At 43.7% G+C, this 18,421-nt stretch overlaps 1 protein-coding gene across 3 annotated transcripts; it reads right to left on the minus strand.

The window, feature by feature from the left end:
* Nucleotides 1-398: 398 nt before the first annotated feature.
* REG4 (regenerating family member 4) lies at nt 399-17,842 on the minus strand. Of its 3 annotated transcripts, NM_001159352.2 has the most exons (7): nt 17,791-17,842; nt 15,411-15,584; nt 15,085-15,245; nt 9,450-9,547; nt 6,107-6,244; nt 4,879-4,984; nt 399-1,067 (listed from the first exon to the last, which is right to left on the minus strand). In NM_001159352.2, exons 3-7 carry the CDS (start codon nt 15,149-15,151, stop codon nt 1,000-1,002), a joined length of 477 nt encoding a protein of 158 aa, NP_001152824.1. In that variant the 5' UTR covers nt 15,152-15,245; nt 15,411-15,584; nt 17,791-17,842; the 3' UTR covers nt 399-999. The 3 variants fall into 3 exon arrangements, with proteins under 3 accessions (NP_001152824.1, NP_114433.1, NP_001152825.1); NM_032044.4 differs by lacking the exon at nt 15,411-15,584; NM_001159353.2 differs by lacking the exons at nt 399-1,067; nt 4,879-4,984; nt 6,107-6,244; nt 15,411-15,584 and having other exon boundaries at nt 7,552-9,547.
* Between the last annotated feature and the right edge of the window lie 579 nt (nt 17,843-18,421).

The following is an 18,421-nucleotide window of genomic DNA, read 5'->3' on the forward strand; positions in this document are numbered from 1 at the left end:
CATTGAGTCCATATTTGCTTCTGTTTACATGACCACTCAGATTCGTGACCTGGGGAGTCATATATCTGTTTGCAGGCAAAATCACATCCTTATTATTGAAGTAACCACCTCATAAGCCATTGCAAACCTCACAGGGCAAAGAGAGTCACACAAGGCCACACATGTTGTCAGTGGCAGTGGGGGAGAAGAGTGTCCAGGGTCCAGGTCAGCTCCACCATACCTGCTGTGACTGTCATCCCCCTCATAAGCTGAGAAGCACTTACAACTAAATAGCACCCACTCGCCCAACCTTGCTCAGAAGTTGGCAGGCATGTCACCTGCATCTCTCCTCTCCTTGAACCAGTGCTGTTGCTGGGGTGGAGGAGGCAGAGACTCAGATGAAGGAGACGAAGAAGCACTTGGGTGTATTTCTTGGTCTTATTTCACTTTTCCACATTCACCATTACTGAACTGGAACACAGCAACCTCTTATGTACACAATGGTTTATTAAAGGAATGTATGGCCCACATCAACCTAGCAAGGATTCTACTGGTAAACCTTCCCATGGCCAAAGGAAAAACAAGCAGGAGTTGAGTGGCTGGGGTGGGGTGCAGGCAATGGAGAGAGGGCAGAAGGGTGTAGAAGCTGAAGGGGTCTAGAAGCTTACTCCTGAGTTTCTTCCTTCTGTCTTCAAATCTTTACTTCTTATGGCCAAAGACCCAGCTGTTTCATAGGCTGGAGATGCACTCTTCTAGACTGCTCGAGACAGCCAGAGACAGGGGAGGAGGGAAGAAGGATACTGTGGAAAGGGATGGCGGGGCAAACATTTAGAGCTAGAAGCCACTACTGGGCCAATGCTAAAGTTTCTGTCTCTAAGCCTAAAAAAGCCAGTGTAGTAGGGCCCTTATCACTCTTAGTTTGCTAGGTTTCCCCTCTGAAATAATGAGCAGATTTAGCCAGGCTAGCAGAAAGGAAGAGGACGGGGCTGTGCAGGAGTTAGCAGAATCTTGATTCTTGCTCTATGGTCGGTACTTGCACAGGAAGTGTTGGCGCTTGTTGCATTCGTTGCTGCTCCAAGTTAAAAAGTCTGTAAGAAAATAAACAGATATTTAAATCCATTCAGTACTATACTGAGCTTGCCAGAGTTATCTGGGTGTTTTTCTTGGAAGCATAGATAAGGCAATATGATGGTTGACTTTATGTGTCAACTTAGCTAGACTATGATGTACAGTTGTTTGATTGCTGCGAAGGTGTTTTTTAGCTGTGATTAACGTTTAACAATCAGTAGACTTTGAGTAAAGCAGATGGCCCTCCATCATGTGTGTGGGCCTCCTCCAATCAATTGAAGGCCTTAAGAGAAAAGACCTGTCTCCCAAAGAGGAAGAAATTCTGCCTCCAGACCGTCTTTGGACTCAAGACAACAACATTAAGTCCTGCAAGAATTTCCAGGCTGCTGGCCTGTCCTGCGGTTTTGAGACTTCACAGCCCCCACAATTGCATGAGCCAATTCCTCAAAGTAAATCTCTGTCTCTCTATATATACATCCAACTACTTCTGTTTCCCTGGAGAACCGTAATACAGATACCAACTTTCCCAATGAAAGAAAAACACTTGAAATGTCACACACCATGGCAAAAGCTCCACTCCAGCACTGCTTTTGAGGAAAGGCAGGGGTTGACATGAATCAACTGAGAATGAGGGGCTCTTGTGTTGAGGCAGGATGCAGTGAGGATCTGAGTGTGGCCTGTCCTCAAGCCCACAGCTGAGGCTCTAAGAAGCTCCTGTTCAAAGTTCAAAGAACTGAAAGCTGCTAAAGCCATTCACATCCCAACAGGCCATCTGCTTATGAAAAAGGAGAGAGCCCAAGGCGGAGGTGGCCTTTTGAAGGACTGAAGTATTTTTGAGGTGAGATCCAACTATTTCCCTCCCAGAAGCCAAGCTCCACAGCATCACTTGTCTTCCATGGGTGTCTGCAGCAGAGCGAGGAGTTGTTCCCTGGCTAGGTGTCTGCTTGGGCCCTGACCTGCAGATCTGGCCCTGTTCCCAGTGCGTGTGGGTGGGTGAGAACCCTGGGGAGAGGAGGGGGTGAGGTGTGCCCCTCCCACTCCTGGTTCTCAGGAGCCACAGAGGATGGGGCCTGCCCATGCCTGCATCCATAGTGCTCAGCGCAGGAGCCACAGAGTATAAATGAAACAGGGCCTGCAAGCTTGTGGGTACTTTCACAGTGTGGGGCAAAGAGAATACGGCACAAGGCCATGGGCCAGGCTTGAGACTGACTGTCTCATCAGCAGGTCCTTTTGAGGTTGCTGCCCATTGAGCCTGTGGATAAGCTAGAATAGCAGCTTCAAACAATCAAGCACAGCCCAGCTCACTATAGGCACTAAGCAAGAGGTCTGCTTTTCCCACCTCATCAGAGGCGGAGTGCAGGGAAGGGTGACTGAGAAACCTTACTTTCCCTTTTCTCCAGGCCACGGAGCCATTAGCCTAGCTTGCACGTGATAAGCATGCCACATGTATTCAGATGATTAGGGCGATTATTTCCTCCTTTTTATAAGGAGGCATTTGAGGCACAGAGAAGTCAGAGATCTGCACAGGGTCACACAGCTCAGCTAGGAGGAGCTGGAATTCTACCCTGGGCATTCAGAATGCAGAACCCATGCTCTTGACCTCAACGTATACTGAATATGAAATTTCTTTTCCAACTGCAAAACCCAAGTTATCATTATTAAATGTCTCAAAGTGGACCAGCAAAACATCAGGAAACATTGCAAGCTGCAATTTTCCAGAGTCACAAAACACATTTTGATGTAAAGGGGAGAGTCAGAAAGGGTGAGAGAGGGACACACAAAATAAAATGCTCTGGAATTCTTTCTAAAGAGTTATAAAAAAGGAACAGCCCTGTCACAAAGAGAGAACAAGAATGTGTGTGTGGCTGTATATTGGGGCATTAATATACATTTTGAATTAAAAAAAATAGAAACTGAGTGGGGAGCAAAATCCATTGTACTGATGTGGCTGAGGGGGATGGGCTTTTAAATTCTACCTTCCACCAGTTTCTCTCAAATCCTTGCTTCATTCCTTGTGCTTTTCTGCCTTGAGAGCCTGTGTTCTGACAGCCACGAGCTGGGTAAGTAACCATGGGAAAGGAAAGGAACCCAAAGACGTGCTGTTCTCAGAGAGCTTCAGGCTTCTGGTTCCCATCCACACAACAGAGGCAACTTCGCTACTGAATTTTGCTGATGTGATCATCGACTCACAGGGAAAGGACTTTCGTTTGAGGACTTTGTCCAATGGGAATGTCAGAATCTGGGGAATGTGAGGGACTTAGGGAGGCATCTGGTCTACTGCTCCCAAAGCAGGTCTGGCCTCCAGTCCCAGAAATTCTGATGCTGCAGGTCTGAAAACGAATCCCTGATATTGGTATTTTTACAATGTTCCTCATTTGATTCTTTTGTGCCATGGAGCCTCGCTTCTAACACTTAATGCGTCAACTGCAATAACAACTACAATGTCCACCTTTTGCTTGGTTAACTCTGGTTATAAGGTTTCTCACTACTTCCTGGGGTAGCTCATTATGTGTTTGAGCAGTGCTAACTGTTTAAAATTTTTTCCTTGATTGGAGTAAAAATCCACTTGTTGATAGCCTCTACCTATTGGTTTTGGTTGTGTTTTTTCCATTTGAGCCAACTTCTGCCTTGAACAGCAGCAGCTGTGCTCTCACTGGTCTGTGAAAATCCCCTCTATGGCTGTTTATCTCTGAGGGCTTTCCTCAGAGTGTGTCTCCTCATGCCTGCCCTTTGCCTCATGCTGTTAGAAAGTTTTCTCACTCTCTCTTTCCTTCTTATAAGTTTATTCCTCTGACAACAGTAAACTGCCCCCATGTCCTGCTGGGGATGACCAAGTCCCTCCCTACCCCAGCCCAATAGCTGAGACCTCAGCCCAGGCCTGCTCCAGGCCGACTTCTTGGCTGGCAGGGGGTCCTGGTGTCACTATGATGGCCTATTAGACCCACTGGGATATTCTCAAGTATACGACCTTTGGCACTGAGTATTCTTTAATATTCTGTGATCTTGTACAGCTGAAGTTTTCTACACCGCTTATTAATCATGGTTCTCACCAGGGGGTGAATTTGCCCCCCACAGGAAACACTTGGCTATGCCTGGAGATATTTTTGATTGTCACGACCTGGGAGGAGGAGTGCTACTGGCACCTACTGATTAGAGACCAGGGATGCCGCTCAACCTCCTGCAATGTACAGGATAGCCCCCACAACCAAGAAGTATCCAGCCCAAGATGTCACCAGTATGAATGCTGAAAAGTCTAACTCATGAGCATAAAGACAAAGAATGAAAGCAGGCCAGAGAAAGGAGAAGGCTCACGCGAGTGTGTGCAGCCTGCGCTGAGCTTCAGGCCACCACATTCTGGGGACAGGATTCAGGGAAACAGACAGAAGGGAAGAACTCAGGCAAAGACCGGCCTTCCAGGGCTCATGGCAAACCCTCATTTTAAAGAAGTCAGAAGAGATTTATCTGTTTTCACCACATATATTTACTCCCTGTGGTCTGGGCTTCCCAAAATGGGATATATATCCCTCTCATGGTATAGAATGTGATTTTAAAATAAGTGTATTTCAGAAAAAAAATGAATGGATTTAAAGAAAATATTGAGTAAATAACAGAACAGCTGGTACATTGATGTGACAAAGACTGTAAAGTGATCACAAAGGACTGAATGTTGGTAACCAATGTCTGTGGCAAGGCCACTGCCTTGCTGGAGAAAAGAGTTGTTGGTGTGGAATGAGGAGGGCAGTGGTCCCCTGTGCCTATTTTTGTGCTTACTAGGTAAAGGGAAGAGTCTGCGCATTGGGAAGTGGTGAGGGGTGGTGCATTATAACTTACTGTTATTGGAGCTCATCTCAGCACAGTGCTTGTTCCCACCCATGGACTTGCCAGACCAGGATCTGTACAGATACATGGCCCCATCAATCCACTGCCACTGCTGCCTCTGCAACAACAGGAGATGGAGAAGTGTACAGCTCAGCAACCCACCTGCCACAGCCAAGGAAGTCCCCTCAGTCCCCTTTAAAACATGGTTTTCATTGCAAACATTGGGAAAGTACAGAAATGCTTAAAGAAGGAAAAAGAGAAAGTCATTCCACTCAACCGCTAATAGGAAAACATTACCAATATTACTGCAAAAAATAGAAATAGATGTAAATATTTACTCCATCTGAATGACAGGGTTCTGATTGATAGCAATGTGAATACATAAAAATGTAAAATTTCTGATAGTCAAATAAATGACATTAAAAACGAAATAATTGTATAAAATATTTGTAACAACTATGGTAAAGGATTATCTGTTTTTCTGTAACATAATATTTAAAAAGAGAAAAAGCCATAAGATGTTTATAGACAAGTACTAAAGGATGGACACATACATATTCGTGAAAGAGGTTGAACGAATGTGTGGTATCTTCAGCAGTTTTATTAAGAAGCAGGAAGTATGGGGCTTCCCGCTTTATGTTCCCTGTGTTTGTCTGAGTCAACTAAAGAAGCCCCACCAAGAATCTGTGAACTGAAGACCCCACACCTAGACCTCATCAACCAGCTGTTCCTTACAAAAACCACTCACGTCATTTCTTACAAGAAGGTATTGATGAAAAGAACAGGAAGTTACAGTGAAAAACATCAAGGATAACATAAAAAAAATTACAGCATCTAAAAAAAAAGGCTAGCTGAAAGTTTTCAACTTTAACTCAAGATCCAATGGAGATTTGATTAATCTGTCTCATAATAGGCCTGTGTGCGTACACACACACACACACACACACACACACACACACACACTTTTTAAGGCTCTAGAAAGCTGGTAATTTTGTGTTCTGCCATTCAGGAGGGCCTTAATTAGACAAAGGTCTATACAATGGAGTCATTTAAATCATATCCTCCACCGAGGGCCAGAACTGGGCCCCTGACCTTGAGACTTTGGTCTCCGTCAGCTGGAGGCACATCTGGAGAAGATCCACCCGCTGTGTCCTTGTTATAGGCCGGGAGGCCATTCCCCAAAAAGAGGATGCCAGCCTGGCTTTCCCAAGAGGGCCTTTGTGGCCAAGTCTGAGGTTACCTTCTGTGGGTCGTGCAGGCCAATCCATATCGGCTGGCTTCTCTGATAGCCACTTATGTACTCTGCTATGGTGCTGGCTTCCTTTAAACTCAGGATAGATGCCAGGTGGGCTCCGTTTCCGTAAGACTGACACTCGAGCTATGTACAAGGAGAGGTCCTGTTAATTATGCCTGCATGTTTAAAGCACAGCCCTCCCCTCAGAACGCTAGCGTGCCAAGAAGGAGGGACTCACGCAGCCCCCACTTCCTCCACACATCGTGCTCTAAGCCCCACAGAAGGCTTCCTGCCACCCTGGGAAAAAACACAACTGCTGCAGCGTTCGGTCTCAGAGAAAGAGGCAGTACAAGGCCAGGGCAAGAGATTTAGGGTCTGAGGACGTGCCCGGGGTCCTGGTCTTGCCTCTCAGTGGTTTATGTGACCTTGACAAGTCACTTCACCTCTCTGAGGCTCAGTTTCTTCATCTGTAAAATAATTACTGCTACCTAGGACCTGTCATGAGGCCTATTGTATTATAGTACTGCATTTCAACAGATCTAAGAAACTGCTGATTGTAAAATGTGCCATTATTTTGTGTCCCACGAAGAAAGAAAATAAAATCACTGTCAATGAATCTATGATACACAGTGACACAGTGTGTTTGTAGCACACTCCTGATTTTAGAGGTGTCAGTATGTGAACACAATGTGCATCAGAGAACAGGCATTATGGCAGTGCTCTTTGCGGGACACCTCCAACACACTGGGCACCTCACATTCGGTCCTAACAGCAGCCTAAGTAGGTGGGGCCCACCTTTAGTTTATGGATGGGGAGAGAGAGGATCAGGAATGGGCAACTGGACACAGGAAGAGAGCCCAGCTCTCCCTAATTCCTAAGCCTATATTGTGTTTATTTTAATTATTATTACCCTATATTACATAAGAATAACACACTGTAAATTGTAAACAGTGGTCTGTAACTTATTTTGACTTGCTAGTGAATGGGCATGGATCAATTGCCTAAACATGTGAGGTGATCCTCCAGAGGAGAGGAGACTGCTCCCCGTGCTGGTGTAGAATTCCTGCTGATTGGAGGTGAATATGCCCACCCCTTTGTCTTTCCTCAACAGTAACCATGCCTCCAAATCTGGTTGGATTTTGGGGGTTTCCTGGGCACTAGAGGCAGATATGTAACTATCTGCTTTGTTGCAACTTTTAAAACTTTCAGCTCTAATCCCAAATCTGTTTTACTTCTGTATGTCTGCATATCGATCCCCAATTTTTCCTTCTTCCTTTGCAAAAGTGCTGTCTTCTTTCATATCCAAGGCCATGCAATCTGAATTTTTCTTGTGGGCAAATAAATGGTAATCACTCACTGTTTTAAGGATTGTATGAAACACATGACATGATAAATTCTTATTCTGTAACCAGAAACCTATTGTTCAATTAAACACGGCAAATGTTTATATATATGGGTGTATGTATATAAACTTTATTTTATTCTCTTCTGGGGTTGTGTTACATGACAAGAAATTGAATTAATTCAATAAAATTTTAGTTCGGGTTGCTTAGGTTTTTACTGCTCCCATTCTTGCTTTTACTAATTTATCCAAGATTAGATGTGATTACTATTTAATAATAATTTAGTCCTCACACTTACAAACCACTTACAATACCAGCATGCTTCTATCACTGTAATTCTATTCAATTCTCAGGCCCATGAGGCATGCCAGCCAGACGACCAGACAGCATTTATTGAGTGCCCACTCTATACCAGCCACAGAAGATCCTGTGTCAGAAGGGGAAACAGGTTTGGAGGCTTGAAGTATGTACGTGATAGCCTCCCTCCCAGTCCACACAACTGGTACTGCTGGGGCTGTAACTAGAACTCAGGCCTCTGCCTCTCAAGCTCAAGGTCGGATGTCCATGTGCTTCTCACGTTGCCTCCATCAGCTTCCAGGGGTCTCAAGAGCCAGCCATGCAAGAAGAGCCAAGGGCGGTAGCAACACTGGCGAGGAATCAGGGAGCCGCACAGCTCTTGTTGGGTTTGAGGGGTCCTCTTTGGCTTCGCTGTCCTAGCACCCTCTCTGCACCTTGGTCCTGTTAACTTTGTTAAGGTTCAGTGTCAATCCTGTGGGCTGTTCTTTCTTGAGACCCTGAATTGGCATCTACCATGTGGCATAGGCTTTATGCGAGTCGTTTTAATGAATCCTCCTGACAAGTCCATGAGGTAAAAAGTATTATCCCACTTTCCAGTAGGGAAACAGGTAAAGGGAGGTACCTAGGGAGTGGCAGAGTAGTGATGTAAACTCAGGTCTCTATTACTCCTCGGTTCCCAGACATCTTCCTCTTTGTTCCCTCTGTTTTCATAGAGAAAGTCTATTCCTCTCCACGAGCTCATTTTCTTTCCTGGGACAGAGTCTGGGAAACCCTTTCTTCACTCTGTTTCTCTCCCCTTTTTATACAATTATTCAGGACTCAGCTCAGACTTTGCTGGGGTTGCTGTGTCAGTTACTCTCAGTGTAAACTTGGGAAAGTCATTTATACTCATGCTGTATGGAAATGTTCTGTTTAAATGTCGCAATCCTGCATTAATCCTGGGCTTTCTAAGGCGGGAGAATACCTTCATAGCCTCAGTAGCTGGCATGTGGTAGGTGCTTCGTTCTTGTTTTTTTGTTTGTTTGTTTTGTTTTCTGTTTTTCATTGTCTAGTTTTATACAGGGATTGTAAGACCGCATAGGCCCAGATCATGCCAAATGTACCTATATGGCTCCCCCAATTAATCACAATTCAGCAGCATCCACTCCCCATATGTGGCTGAGATAACTTACTTTGACTGTCTATTTGGTTATCTCTCAGACAAAGCTTCAACGAAATAAAATGGACAGGTTTGTGGACTGTGTAGAGCAGCGGAAAAGTTTCCACATTTTCTTGGACTGCTTCACCTTCTGTCAGCGGCTCCAAGGTGTCTGCTCCAGGCATGTCTACACACCACTCTCTTTCTGGTAAATCTTGTACAGAAACTCCATTATCCTTTCTGTGAATTCCTCATCTTCTCTTCCTCCTTTGATTGATGTATTTCTGTCTCCTTTACTGACAGTGAGCTTGCTGAGGGTAGGGGCTCTTTCCTATGTATCCGTATGTGCTTGTAGCCCATCTAGGGTCTGGCATACAGCACCTGCTTCAGCAATGCTTACAGAATTGAATGAGTTGAACACACAACCCTCTTCTCTCCATTTCACCAGCCAAAGGGGCTTCTCTTCATAGTGCCCAGGAAGGACACTTGATCCTGAATCAAATGAGATCTGGGGCTCTGGCTGGTCCTTTGCTCTAGAAAGGCCAGGCCAAGCAGGCAGCAAGTTTCTTACCTCGGCATCAGACCAGTTCCTCAGCTTCCTGAAGTAACCATAGCAATTGGACTTGTGGTAAAACCATCCAGGAGCACAGCTGGGTCTCATGATGATATCTGCACATAAACAAAAGGCAATTGCACATTATGATAGCAAAAACAATCAATTCCCAGACTTGATACAGTTTGCAATCAGGAACCCCTTGAATGAAGAGAGTCCCTTCATGAAGGGTCCTGCTACACTGCCAAAAATGTATACAGCTTACCCTTCTTCTGGCTTTTCCCAAAGGGACCTATGGCCTTTTACCAGTGTGACTGTGTTTCTGCGATTACTGGACACTGCCTCTGAACAGACATTAATTCCAAGAAAACGTCACTGCGGTCCACCAGTCAGAGTAGGGGTTATGGAAGTCAGGTGATCAATGGAGTTTTAGCTTGATCTGCCTCACAGTGGGTCCAGTGAGTCCAGTGGGTCCCCTGAACCCATGCTGTGGTTATCTCCCCAGTTCTGGAATGCATAATTGGAATATACATACATACATAATTGGACTAGATAGACACTCATAATTGGAATAGATTCTCAGCAGCTGGCAGAATCTTGTATTAGCAGTGAAGGTCAAATAACTATAATTTAAGGCATCACAAGAGTGGATGAGGGACACAAATTGGTAGTTTGGAGCATTCCAAGGAGGGAGGAGTCACTTTGGCTTGGGAGACAAGGGAAGGGTTACATGGCAACTTGACTGGAACTTGAGCATAGGTGGGCTATGTGTCAGTACTGGGGGAGGGAACATTTTAGGCAAAGGAGGCAGGAATGTGTGGGGAAGGATAGAAACAGCAAGCACTTAAGTCTGCCTTAAGTACAGGGTGTCTGTCAGGCAACCATGGCAGAAATAGGAAAGAGCCAGGGCCTAGAAGCAAAGGAATCCATGATTCAGGGAGGCACATGCTTTTCCTGCTAGTCCATTGGTGAATGTGCCATGTCACTGAATCTGAAGGTTTATAAAGAGGGGGAGATGGCTGGATGTACAGAGGCATCAGGTGATCAAGGGGATGTCAAGCTAGCAAGTGTAGGCTTTGTGACTATGTGGCTACCTTCTGACACCATGGTGGGTGAAAAGTGTTTCCTTCCATAAGGGAGGTCCACAGACTGCAGCTGTCATAACAGCATTTTCTCTCTCCTCATTCAAATGATACTACTGTCGCTTGTTTGCCCCACTCTTCTGTTTTATTTCAGCCCCTGCCTATGCATCTCCCAGGGCTCCCCATTGCTTTCAGATGAGCTCTCTGCTCGTCTAGCATGTAAGAGATTTTATAACCTGGTTGTATGCCCCTATCCAGCCACATCCTTCTATGCCATAGTCCCAGCTCCGTCTTGGAACACGAATGCTCAGTGTAGCTTTAGATCCTTTGTATGTGCTATTCCTTGTACCTATGAATAATGAATAATGACCAACCTAACTACGGCAAGGCAGGAAATGTTTCAGTGAGTATGTCAAATATACTACAAACAAACAGCAAAGATATTCATGTATTTAAATGCTTCATCTTCTACTACATTCATAAACATGAACATAATTTTATGATAAATAAAACACAGCCTTTATGCCATTGCCGTTACTACTAGTACCACTGTCACTAGCTTTTGTAAATAAGGTGCTTGACTTTCTATCATCTCTCTGTTCTCTACCTGTCTTTGCACTCTGTCTACATCTCGGTCTCTTTTGTCTCTGTGTTTCTGTGTGTCCCTCCTTGTCTGTGACTGTTTTCTGCTCTCATTCTTTTTTCTCCCCCTCCTCCTTCCTCACTTTTCTATCTCTCTCCCCTCCCCTTTCTGCCCCTCACCCTGCAAGGTGCTTTCTTGATGCCAGGCACCATGTTAGGTGTTTTATCCATATGGCATTTTTATCATAATTGCTTGAGGAGGTGAGGAAACAGGCTCAGGATGGTCATCTGCCCACGGTCACACAGTAAGATGGAAAAGCTGCTTTGCAGATCCAGTTCTCTATGATTTAAAAATCTATGTTACTGCCACCAACCCTCCCAACCTTTATAAAAACGAGAAATTCAAAACTTAGCAACAGAAATAATTAATTGGGCTGCCTTGATTATTTTCTCAGGAGGAAAAGAAATCCTTGCACTTTACGTAAAAATTGATCTTCTTAAGAGAAGGCTGGCCATTGATTACCAGAGGGCAGATAATGACATGGGCTTAAATTTCAGAAAGGGACAGCTGCGAAAACATGCCTTCCAATGTAATACCAGTGAGACTGTTCTGAAAGAGGTGGCAAAGAGGAACCCAAATTTCTGACCTTTGGCCCGAGGACAAAGACCCCTGGCATCACACCTGGTGCTCCTGGTTTGGTCTTGTGCACTCTGAAGCAACTGTCCTTGGCCTTCCGTGAGCAAACATGTTAGGACAGACCCTCTACCACCACGGTCTTTGTTTCCCCTGGATCCAAGCCATGAAAGCAGAGGGCCGAGGGACACACGCAGAGGACTTGGAAGACCACGCCGGAGCCCAGACAATCATGACTCTCTCTCTTCTCTTTCTCCCCTTTCTCTGTCTCTCTTTGTGTTTCTCTGAGTGCTGCTCTCTGTCTTACCATCTCTCTGTTTGTGCATCTCTGTCTTTGACTTTCTATGTATCTCTCCGTTCTCTCCCTGTCTTTGTACTCTCTCTTTTCTCTCTGTGCCTATGTGTGTTCCTCCTTGCCTATGACTGTCTGTTCCCTGACTCTCATTCTTTTTCTCCCCCTCCTCCTTCCTCACTTCATCTCTCTCCCCTCCCCTCTGCCCCACACTCTGCAAGTTGCGGCTGTGGCCGTGAGCTCCTTGGTGGAGACATTTTAGCTCCTAGATATGCAACCAACGGCCGCTCTGCTGCGCTATGGCTCTGCCTTGCACTACCCCACTCCCATCGCCCAGGCTGGAGGGCAGCGGCGCCATCTCGGCTCACTGCAGCCTCGACTTCCCGGGCTCAGGTGATCCTCCCACCTCAGCCTCCTGAGTAGCTGGGACTACAGGCGAGCACCACTGTACCAGGCTAGTTTTTTGTACTTTTTTTTTAGTAGAGACAGACAGAGTTTCGCCACATTGCCCAGGCTGATCTGGAACTTCTGGGCTCAAGTGATCTACCCGCCTTGGTGTCTCAAAGTTCTGGGATTACAGGCCTGAGCCACCGCACCCGGCTTTACTCCACACATTTATTGAGCATTTACTATGTACCCGATGCAGGTCCAGGCCGTTTACATATATTCTAATCATCTTCATAATAACCCTGTCATTATTCCTACGTTCCAGATGAAGAAACAAAGGCAGAAAGAAGACATCGTGTCCCAGGATCCTACAGCAAATAAATGATAAAGGTAAGATTTGACCCCAGACAGACAGTCTGACTCCAAGTCTTAGTCATCTTAGTAATGATGCTCAAGTTATTGCTTTAAATCCTACATGGGTCAAGCACATTCGTTGAGATTATTTTGTTTAATTACCAGAGCCTCCCTGAGAGATAGGTGTGGATAACCATTTCCATTGTACAGAGAAGAGAACCTCCTCACAGGGGCGAGTAACCTGCTGAGGTTACCCAGATGGGGAGTGTGGTGGAAACTGGGAGAGAAGCCAATGTTTCCATGGTGGCCTTAGAACCTTGACCCCACCTCACATGGTGCTAGAGCTCGTCATCTCTACACATGCAGTATCAAGAGGTTTCAGCTTCTAGCATCTTGCCTGGACTACTCCAATACTCGTTCTACTCCCTCACTTATTACATGTATGACCTTAGGAACATGATTTAATCTCTTTCAGCTTTACTTTTCTTGTCTGTACAGTGGGATCAACAATATATGCCTTCTTCACACAGTTGTTGGGAAGATTAATTAAGATAATTCACGTACAGTGATTAGCACAGAGCCTAGTGTATAGGAATTGTTCGACAAATAGTAGCTAGTTAAAACCTGAAGCTATTAAAACCCATCATCATTATTATGTAATAGTTTTGAAAAGATAAGCCAGATGAAGTTTTTTAGTGTCCATAAATGATGTTGCTCTATGTCTCTCCACTCACTGAATCAATGCCATGAATTGCTTCAGGTGAAGGGCAGGTATCAGGACAAAGAACTCACTGTGGAAGCAATAAGAGTTTAATATTCACTACAAGGTCTCATTGAGAGAGAAAATTAATTTCTAAGTCCCCTCTATTTCTCTTAAGTACAGCAGTGCAAAGAACATTTAGGATATGTCATAAGGGAGGTTCCCCCAAGATAGTAAGAATAAGTAGAATGTCCTTCTGCAGCTGGAAGGAAGATCTATCTGGAAGAGAGAAATTGAAGGACCTGTAGTGAATCTTGTGTCTGCATCTCCTCCTCAGGAGAGAAGCCAGAGAGTTTAGTGAGATCCCAGGGATAGGAAGATGGTTGTATCACATTCCCCAGGATATAGCTTGGGCAAATTTCAAGTTTCACTAAGTAGGTCTGAAGTCAGCACAGAACAAGAGTGGCAGGGAACCACCTGGCCACATAGAAATGGCCACAGAAGGCAGCTCTGCAGGAGGGGCTCAAGAGCAGCCCCCCAGAGCCTTGCACTCTCTTGCATGGTTTCCTTTGCATGGCTGAGTTCCACAGGTCCTGAGCAGCCTGCGATAGTTCAGTGAACTGGTGTAGGGTTGAAGACAAAGAGCCATGAAAGACATATTAGGGATAACTATGACCAGGACCGCAGACTGCAGCCATAGGGGCCAAAATGATGCCCAAAGAACCTTGCTTCTCTTAGTATGTCCTTCCAAACCGTCCTACCCTTGGCCAAGGGCATTCCCCAGCAGTAGCAGTACTAAGTAACAGATAGCACTGGTCCCCTCTGGAAGCCCTCTTCTCAACAGAGGCAATGCTCAAGTATGGATTCTTCACTCACTCTTACATGTCCAACACCCAGCAAAGCCACATGGGACTGTGAAAGGCACTAGAAGCCCAAGCATCACTTAATCTTACTGTGTGACATTGGGCAAATCTCTACCCTTTTCTGGAATTCATTTTCCTTGTAAATAGAACAAAGACATTACACCAGATGAGATCACATTTCATTTCCTTCCATTTCTGGTATTCTGTGACATTTCTTCTTAGCTCACTCGTACACTGTTCCTCCCCTGCTTTCTCTATTGGTGGATTCTACAATATTGCTACCCACTTTGTTGCCATGTTACTTTGCACTTGATGTGTGATCTATAAATGTATAAGCGCCATCTCTCTAACTAGATTGTAGGTACCTTGCAAACTGGAATCCCTAATAATGCTCAAAATGATAAACCAGTGCATAAGCATTGGGGAATTCTAATTATGGCTATGACTTATTGACAATCTGCTAGGCAACAGGTGTTTCAAACACATTATCTCTGCCCTTCACAATAAACTTGCCAAATTAATATTATAACTTACCCTTAACTGATGATTTAAGTATGGGTTATAATCATATGGAATTGAGTTTTGTTGGATTCTAGAGCCCTTGAATTTTTTAGTACCTATCTTTGTTTTTCATCTCCATGTTTAAAAACCTATTTCCTGCAGTTCCTAAATGTTTTTGTGGGCAAATGGATGACTGTCTCACATGGGCTGTGTGAACACTGGCTGTGGCTCAGTTCCAGCTACGTGATGGATACTCACCACCCAGGACTCCTGTTTTGGCCAGGCAGCTCAGCAATAGGAGCAGCCGCATGCTTCTGGAAGCCATCTTCCTCCTACCCTGAGGATGTAGCTAGTGCAAGGATCTCAGAGACCTTACTAGCGCTTCTTTGAAACTCCTGGGTTCTCCTTGATCTGCAAATCTGAACACATTTGCACAGGTGAGAAGGACCCAGGAATCTAGATGCCAACTAATACATATGGAGGAAAATAATACAATATTTTCCTGGCTAAATCCAGACTTTATAATGAAGGGAATCTCAAGTTAGATGTACAGGTTAGAAAATTTTAAGAGATTTTGTTCTTACCTGCAAGACCTCCTGGGCCAGTGCCAGAGATCTAACTATAGCAGGCTGAACAGTTTCATAGTCTGCATGGAGGCAATTTGTAAACCACCGAGCACTCGCCCCTGTTAGCTTCAGGAGGGCCAGCAGAGGGCGCCCAAGGCAAGCTTCCTCACAGGTAAGACGGATATGGGCATTCTGTTGTCAAGAAAATCCAATAGAATGGCTCCGACATTGAATTTTTAAATGTTAAAATTAAACGTGAGCACAGTGTCCAATACCCACATTTTACAGATGAGAAAACCTGAGGTCAGTAAGTATGAAGTCATTTGTTCATGGACACCAGCTATAAGCAGATCTGACTCCATCAGCACTCTTTCCTTTACACTTAGTTGACATCATTTTTAAAAATAAAGAACATGGCTTTATCTTTTCCCCATTAGCAAACAACACATGAGCTATTAGAAAATCAATGCAAAACTAGAAAATAAGAAGTAAATCCCATCTCCAGGAGATAATTTGGTGAGTAGCCTACAGATATCTTTCTATGCACCTCTCTCTGTGTACAATTTTATAAAAATAAGATCATATAGTCCTATAGCCTGGTTTTGTTTCTCAGAAACAGATTAATTGTAATACATTGTCTTGCACTCACATAACTTTCATGCATTTTTTATTTTTTCTTTAGTATAAATTCTCATATATAGGGTTGTGGCATCACACAACATGCACATTGTCATTTTAATACCCTTTGTTAAAATGTATGGGCTGTGATATTTACCTCATTAATAGGGCACTAAAAGGATTGGTTCCCTAAGCTCCCAGAGAATGCTTAATTTTGTCAAGTTTTTGGCTAATTTTGGTATATTAAAGAAGAACCTTAGTGTTTTAAAATATTTTATAATTACTAATGAAGTTGAACATCTTTTTATATAATGATTTGCTTTTAGTATTTGGTGAATTTTCATTTTACAGTTTTGCACATTTTTCTATTTCATTGTTTGTGAGATCTTTTTTGTATGTTTATTTGTGAGATCTTTTTTGTATGTTTATTGCCTTTCACGTGTTACTAATAGTATTTCTCAGTTTGTATTTTTCTCTTACTTATTATAATTTTTGCCATTCTGAAATTTTCAAAAATATTGTTATTTTTTATGTTTTTAAAAATAATTTTTAAATTTATATCAAAAGACTGGCCATTACTGTCACATAAGGTTAAAATATTTATCACTGTTCTATTTTCATCTGTCTGGGCTTTGTTTTAACATAAGTATGAAACTGAGTTCTGGATTTCCCTCCCAAATAATTCTTAAAATGAGTTAATTCATTGAATTCACATTTAATCATACTTTATGATTAAAAAATCTGAATATACAATCTAACTCTCAAATAATGGATTGCTTAAAGAGAATAATGTAAATGATGACTTTTCTGGAAAATCAATTCTGGGGTCCATCTGAACACTTTAAGGCAACATTAACTGAGAATGAGACAAAGCTTGGAGAGTGTGGATGTGACCTTCCCCACCCCTTACTTCTTTTTAAATCATTGCGTGAACCTTGCACTTTGCTAAACTTTCCTTCCAAAAGTAATAGTGTATTTTCAATGTCCTCAAACCCCTTTAAAACGCAAACAGAATTTCTCTGTCAAGGTGACCATCTGGGGGAAGGGAGAGGCAGCATCTTTTTTACTAATCTGTGAATAATTTTTAGTGAACTGATATTCATTGAATGTCTGCATGTCATGTTCATAAGTAAGCTGCACTGGGCCGGGTGTGGTGGCTCATGGCTGAAATCCCAGCACTTTGAGAGGCTGAGGCAGGTGGATCACCTGAGGTCAGGAGTTCAAGACCAGCCTGGCCAACATGGCACAACCCTGTCTCTATTAAAAAATACAAAAATTAGCTGGGCGTGGTGGCAAGTGCCTGTAATCACAGCTACTCAGGAGGCTGAGGCAGGAGAATCACTTGAACCTGGGAGGCAGAAGTTGCAGTGAGCCAAGATTGCACCATTGCTCTCCAGCCTGGGAGACAGAGCAAGACTCCATAAAAAAACAAAAACAAAAACAAAAACAGAAACAAAAACAAAAAACCTGCACTGTAGATCTCATGAATGCATGTTACAAATGAAGACACTGACACTTATGATTGAGTAACTTTTCTAAAGTTTCCCAGCTACCAGACTGCAGAGCCAAGATTTAACCCAACAGCTTGACACCAAAGCCAATGCTCTTTGCAGTGAAGGAAGAAAAGAAGGTAAATAATTTAAATCAAACAACACAGCAACAGAAAGCCTGACAAGCCTCACTAGAAATACAATTTGTCATTTCTGGCCTGGCTAATAGCTGACAGAGGAAAACAGATGTTTAAAGAAAGTCCCCCATCATCAACCGCGAGGAGGATTACCTGTTTGGCAACCAAGACTCTAAGGGCCCCTGCCTTCTTCAGTGTCTCCAGTGGTCCCAGTCAACGTTTCTGGAGCTTTTATATCTTCTTGCCTCAGGAATTAATAATCTTTACTTTAGTCACAAAGCGATAATATTATTTGAGAAAAACAATCCATCCATAAAAGTCTTATCTACAGTGAAAAAAATGAATCATATAAGAGACGGCTTCAGAATGTACGTAAGGTGTGCTTTGACTAGCCAGGAAAAGAACCTCTCCCTGTGTGCAAACAGAATCTTTTCTTCACATCACGTTATTAAAACTGACAACATCCTGTAATCTGTTATAAGCCCATCTTCCTCTCCCCTTATGTTACTTTTTCATGGCTGTCTTTTTATGCCTTGGTATGGTGGATTTCCTTTATTTCTCTTTTATTTCTAGAAGGATTTTCTGTCAGGGTCAGGAATAGGTTATGACCCATGCGGTGAGACTTGAGACCCACACACAGATTTTCCTTCCTAAAGCACCGACTCCACTCCTTCAACATGCGTGAGTTTCCTCAGAGATCTACTATTTGAGCTTCTCCCGCAGAACATGGATGATCATGTCAAAATAGCTTACATCAACAGAGTGTGTTACAATAACGGGTTTT

The sequence above is a fragment of the Homo sapiens genome, chromosome 1 (assembly GCF_000001405.40).
Source record: "Homo sapiens chromosome 1, GRCh38.p14 Primary Assembly".
Taxonomy (NCBI): domain Eukaryota; kingdom Metazoa; phylum Chordata; class Mammalia; order Primates; family Hominidae; genus Homo; species Homo sapiens.

Coding starts and splice junctions, on each gene's coding strand:
- REG4 (NM_032044.4), bottom strand. CDS start 15,151: ATGGCTTCCAGAAGCATGCGGCTGCTCCTATTGCTGAGCTGCCTGGCC. Junction 9,548..15,084: donor CAAAACAGGAGTCCTGGGTG/GTGAGTATCCAT, acceptor GTTTATGTGCAG/ATATCATCATGAGACCCAGC. Junction 4,985..6,106: donor GCCTGCACGACCCACAGAAG/GTAACCTCAGAC, acceptor CTGTTGTTGCAG/AGGCAGCAGTGGCAGTGGAT.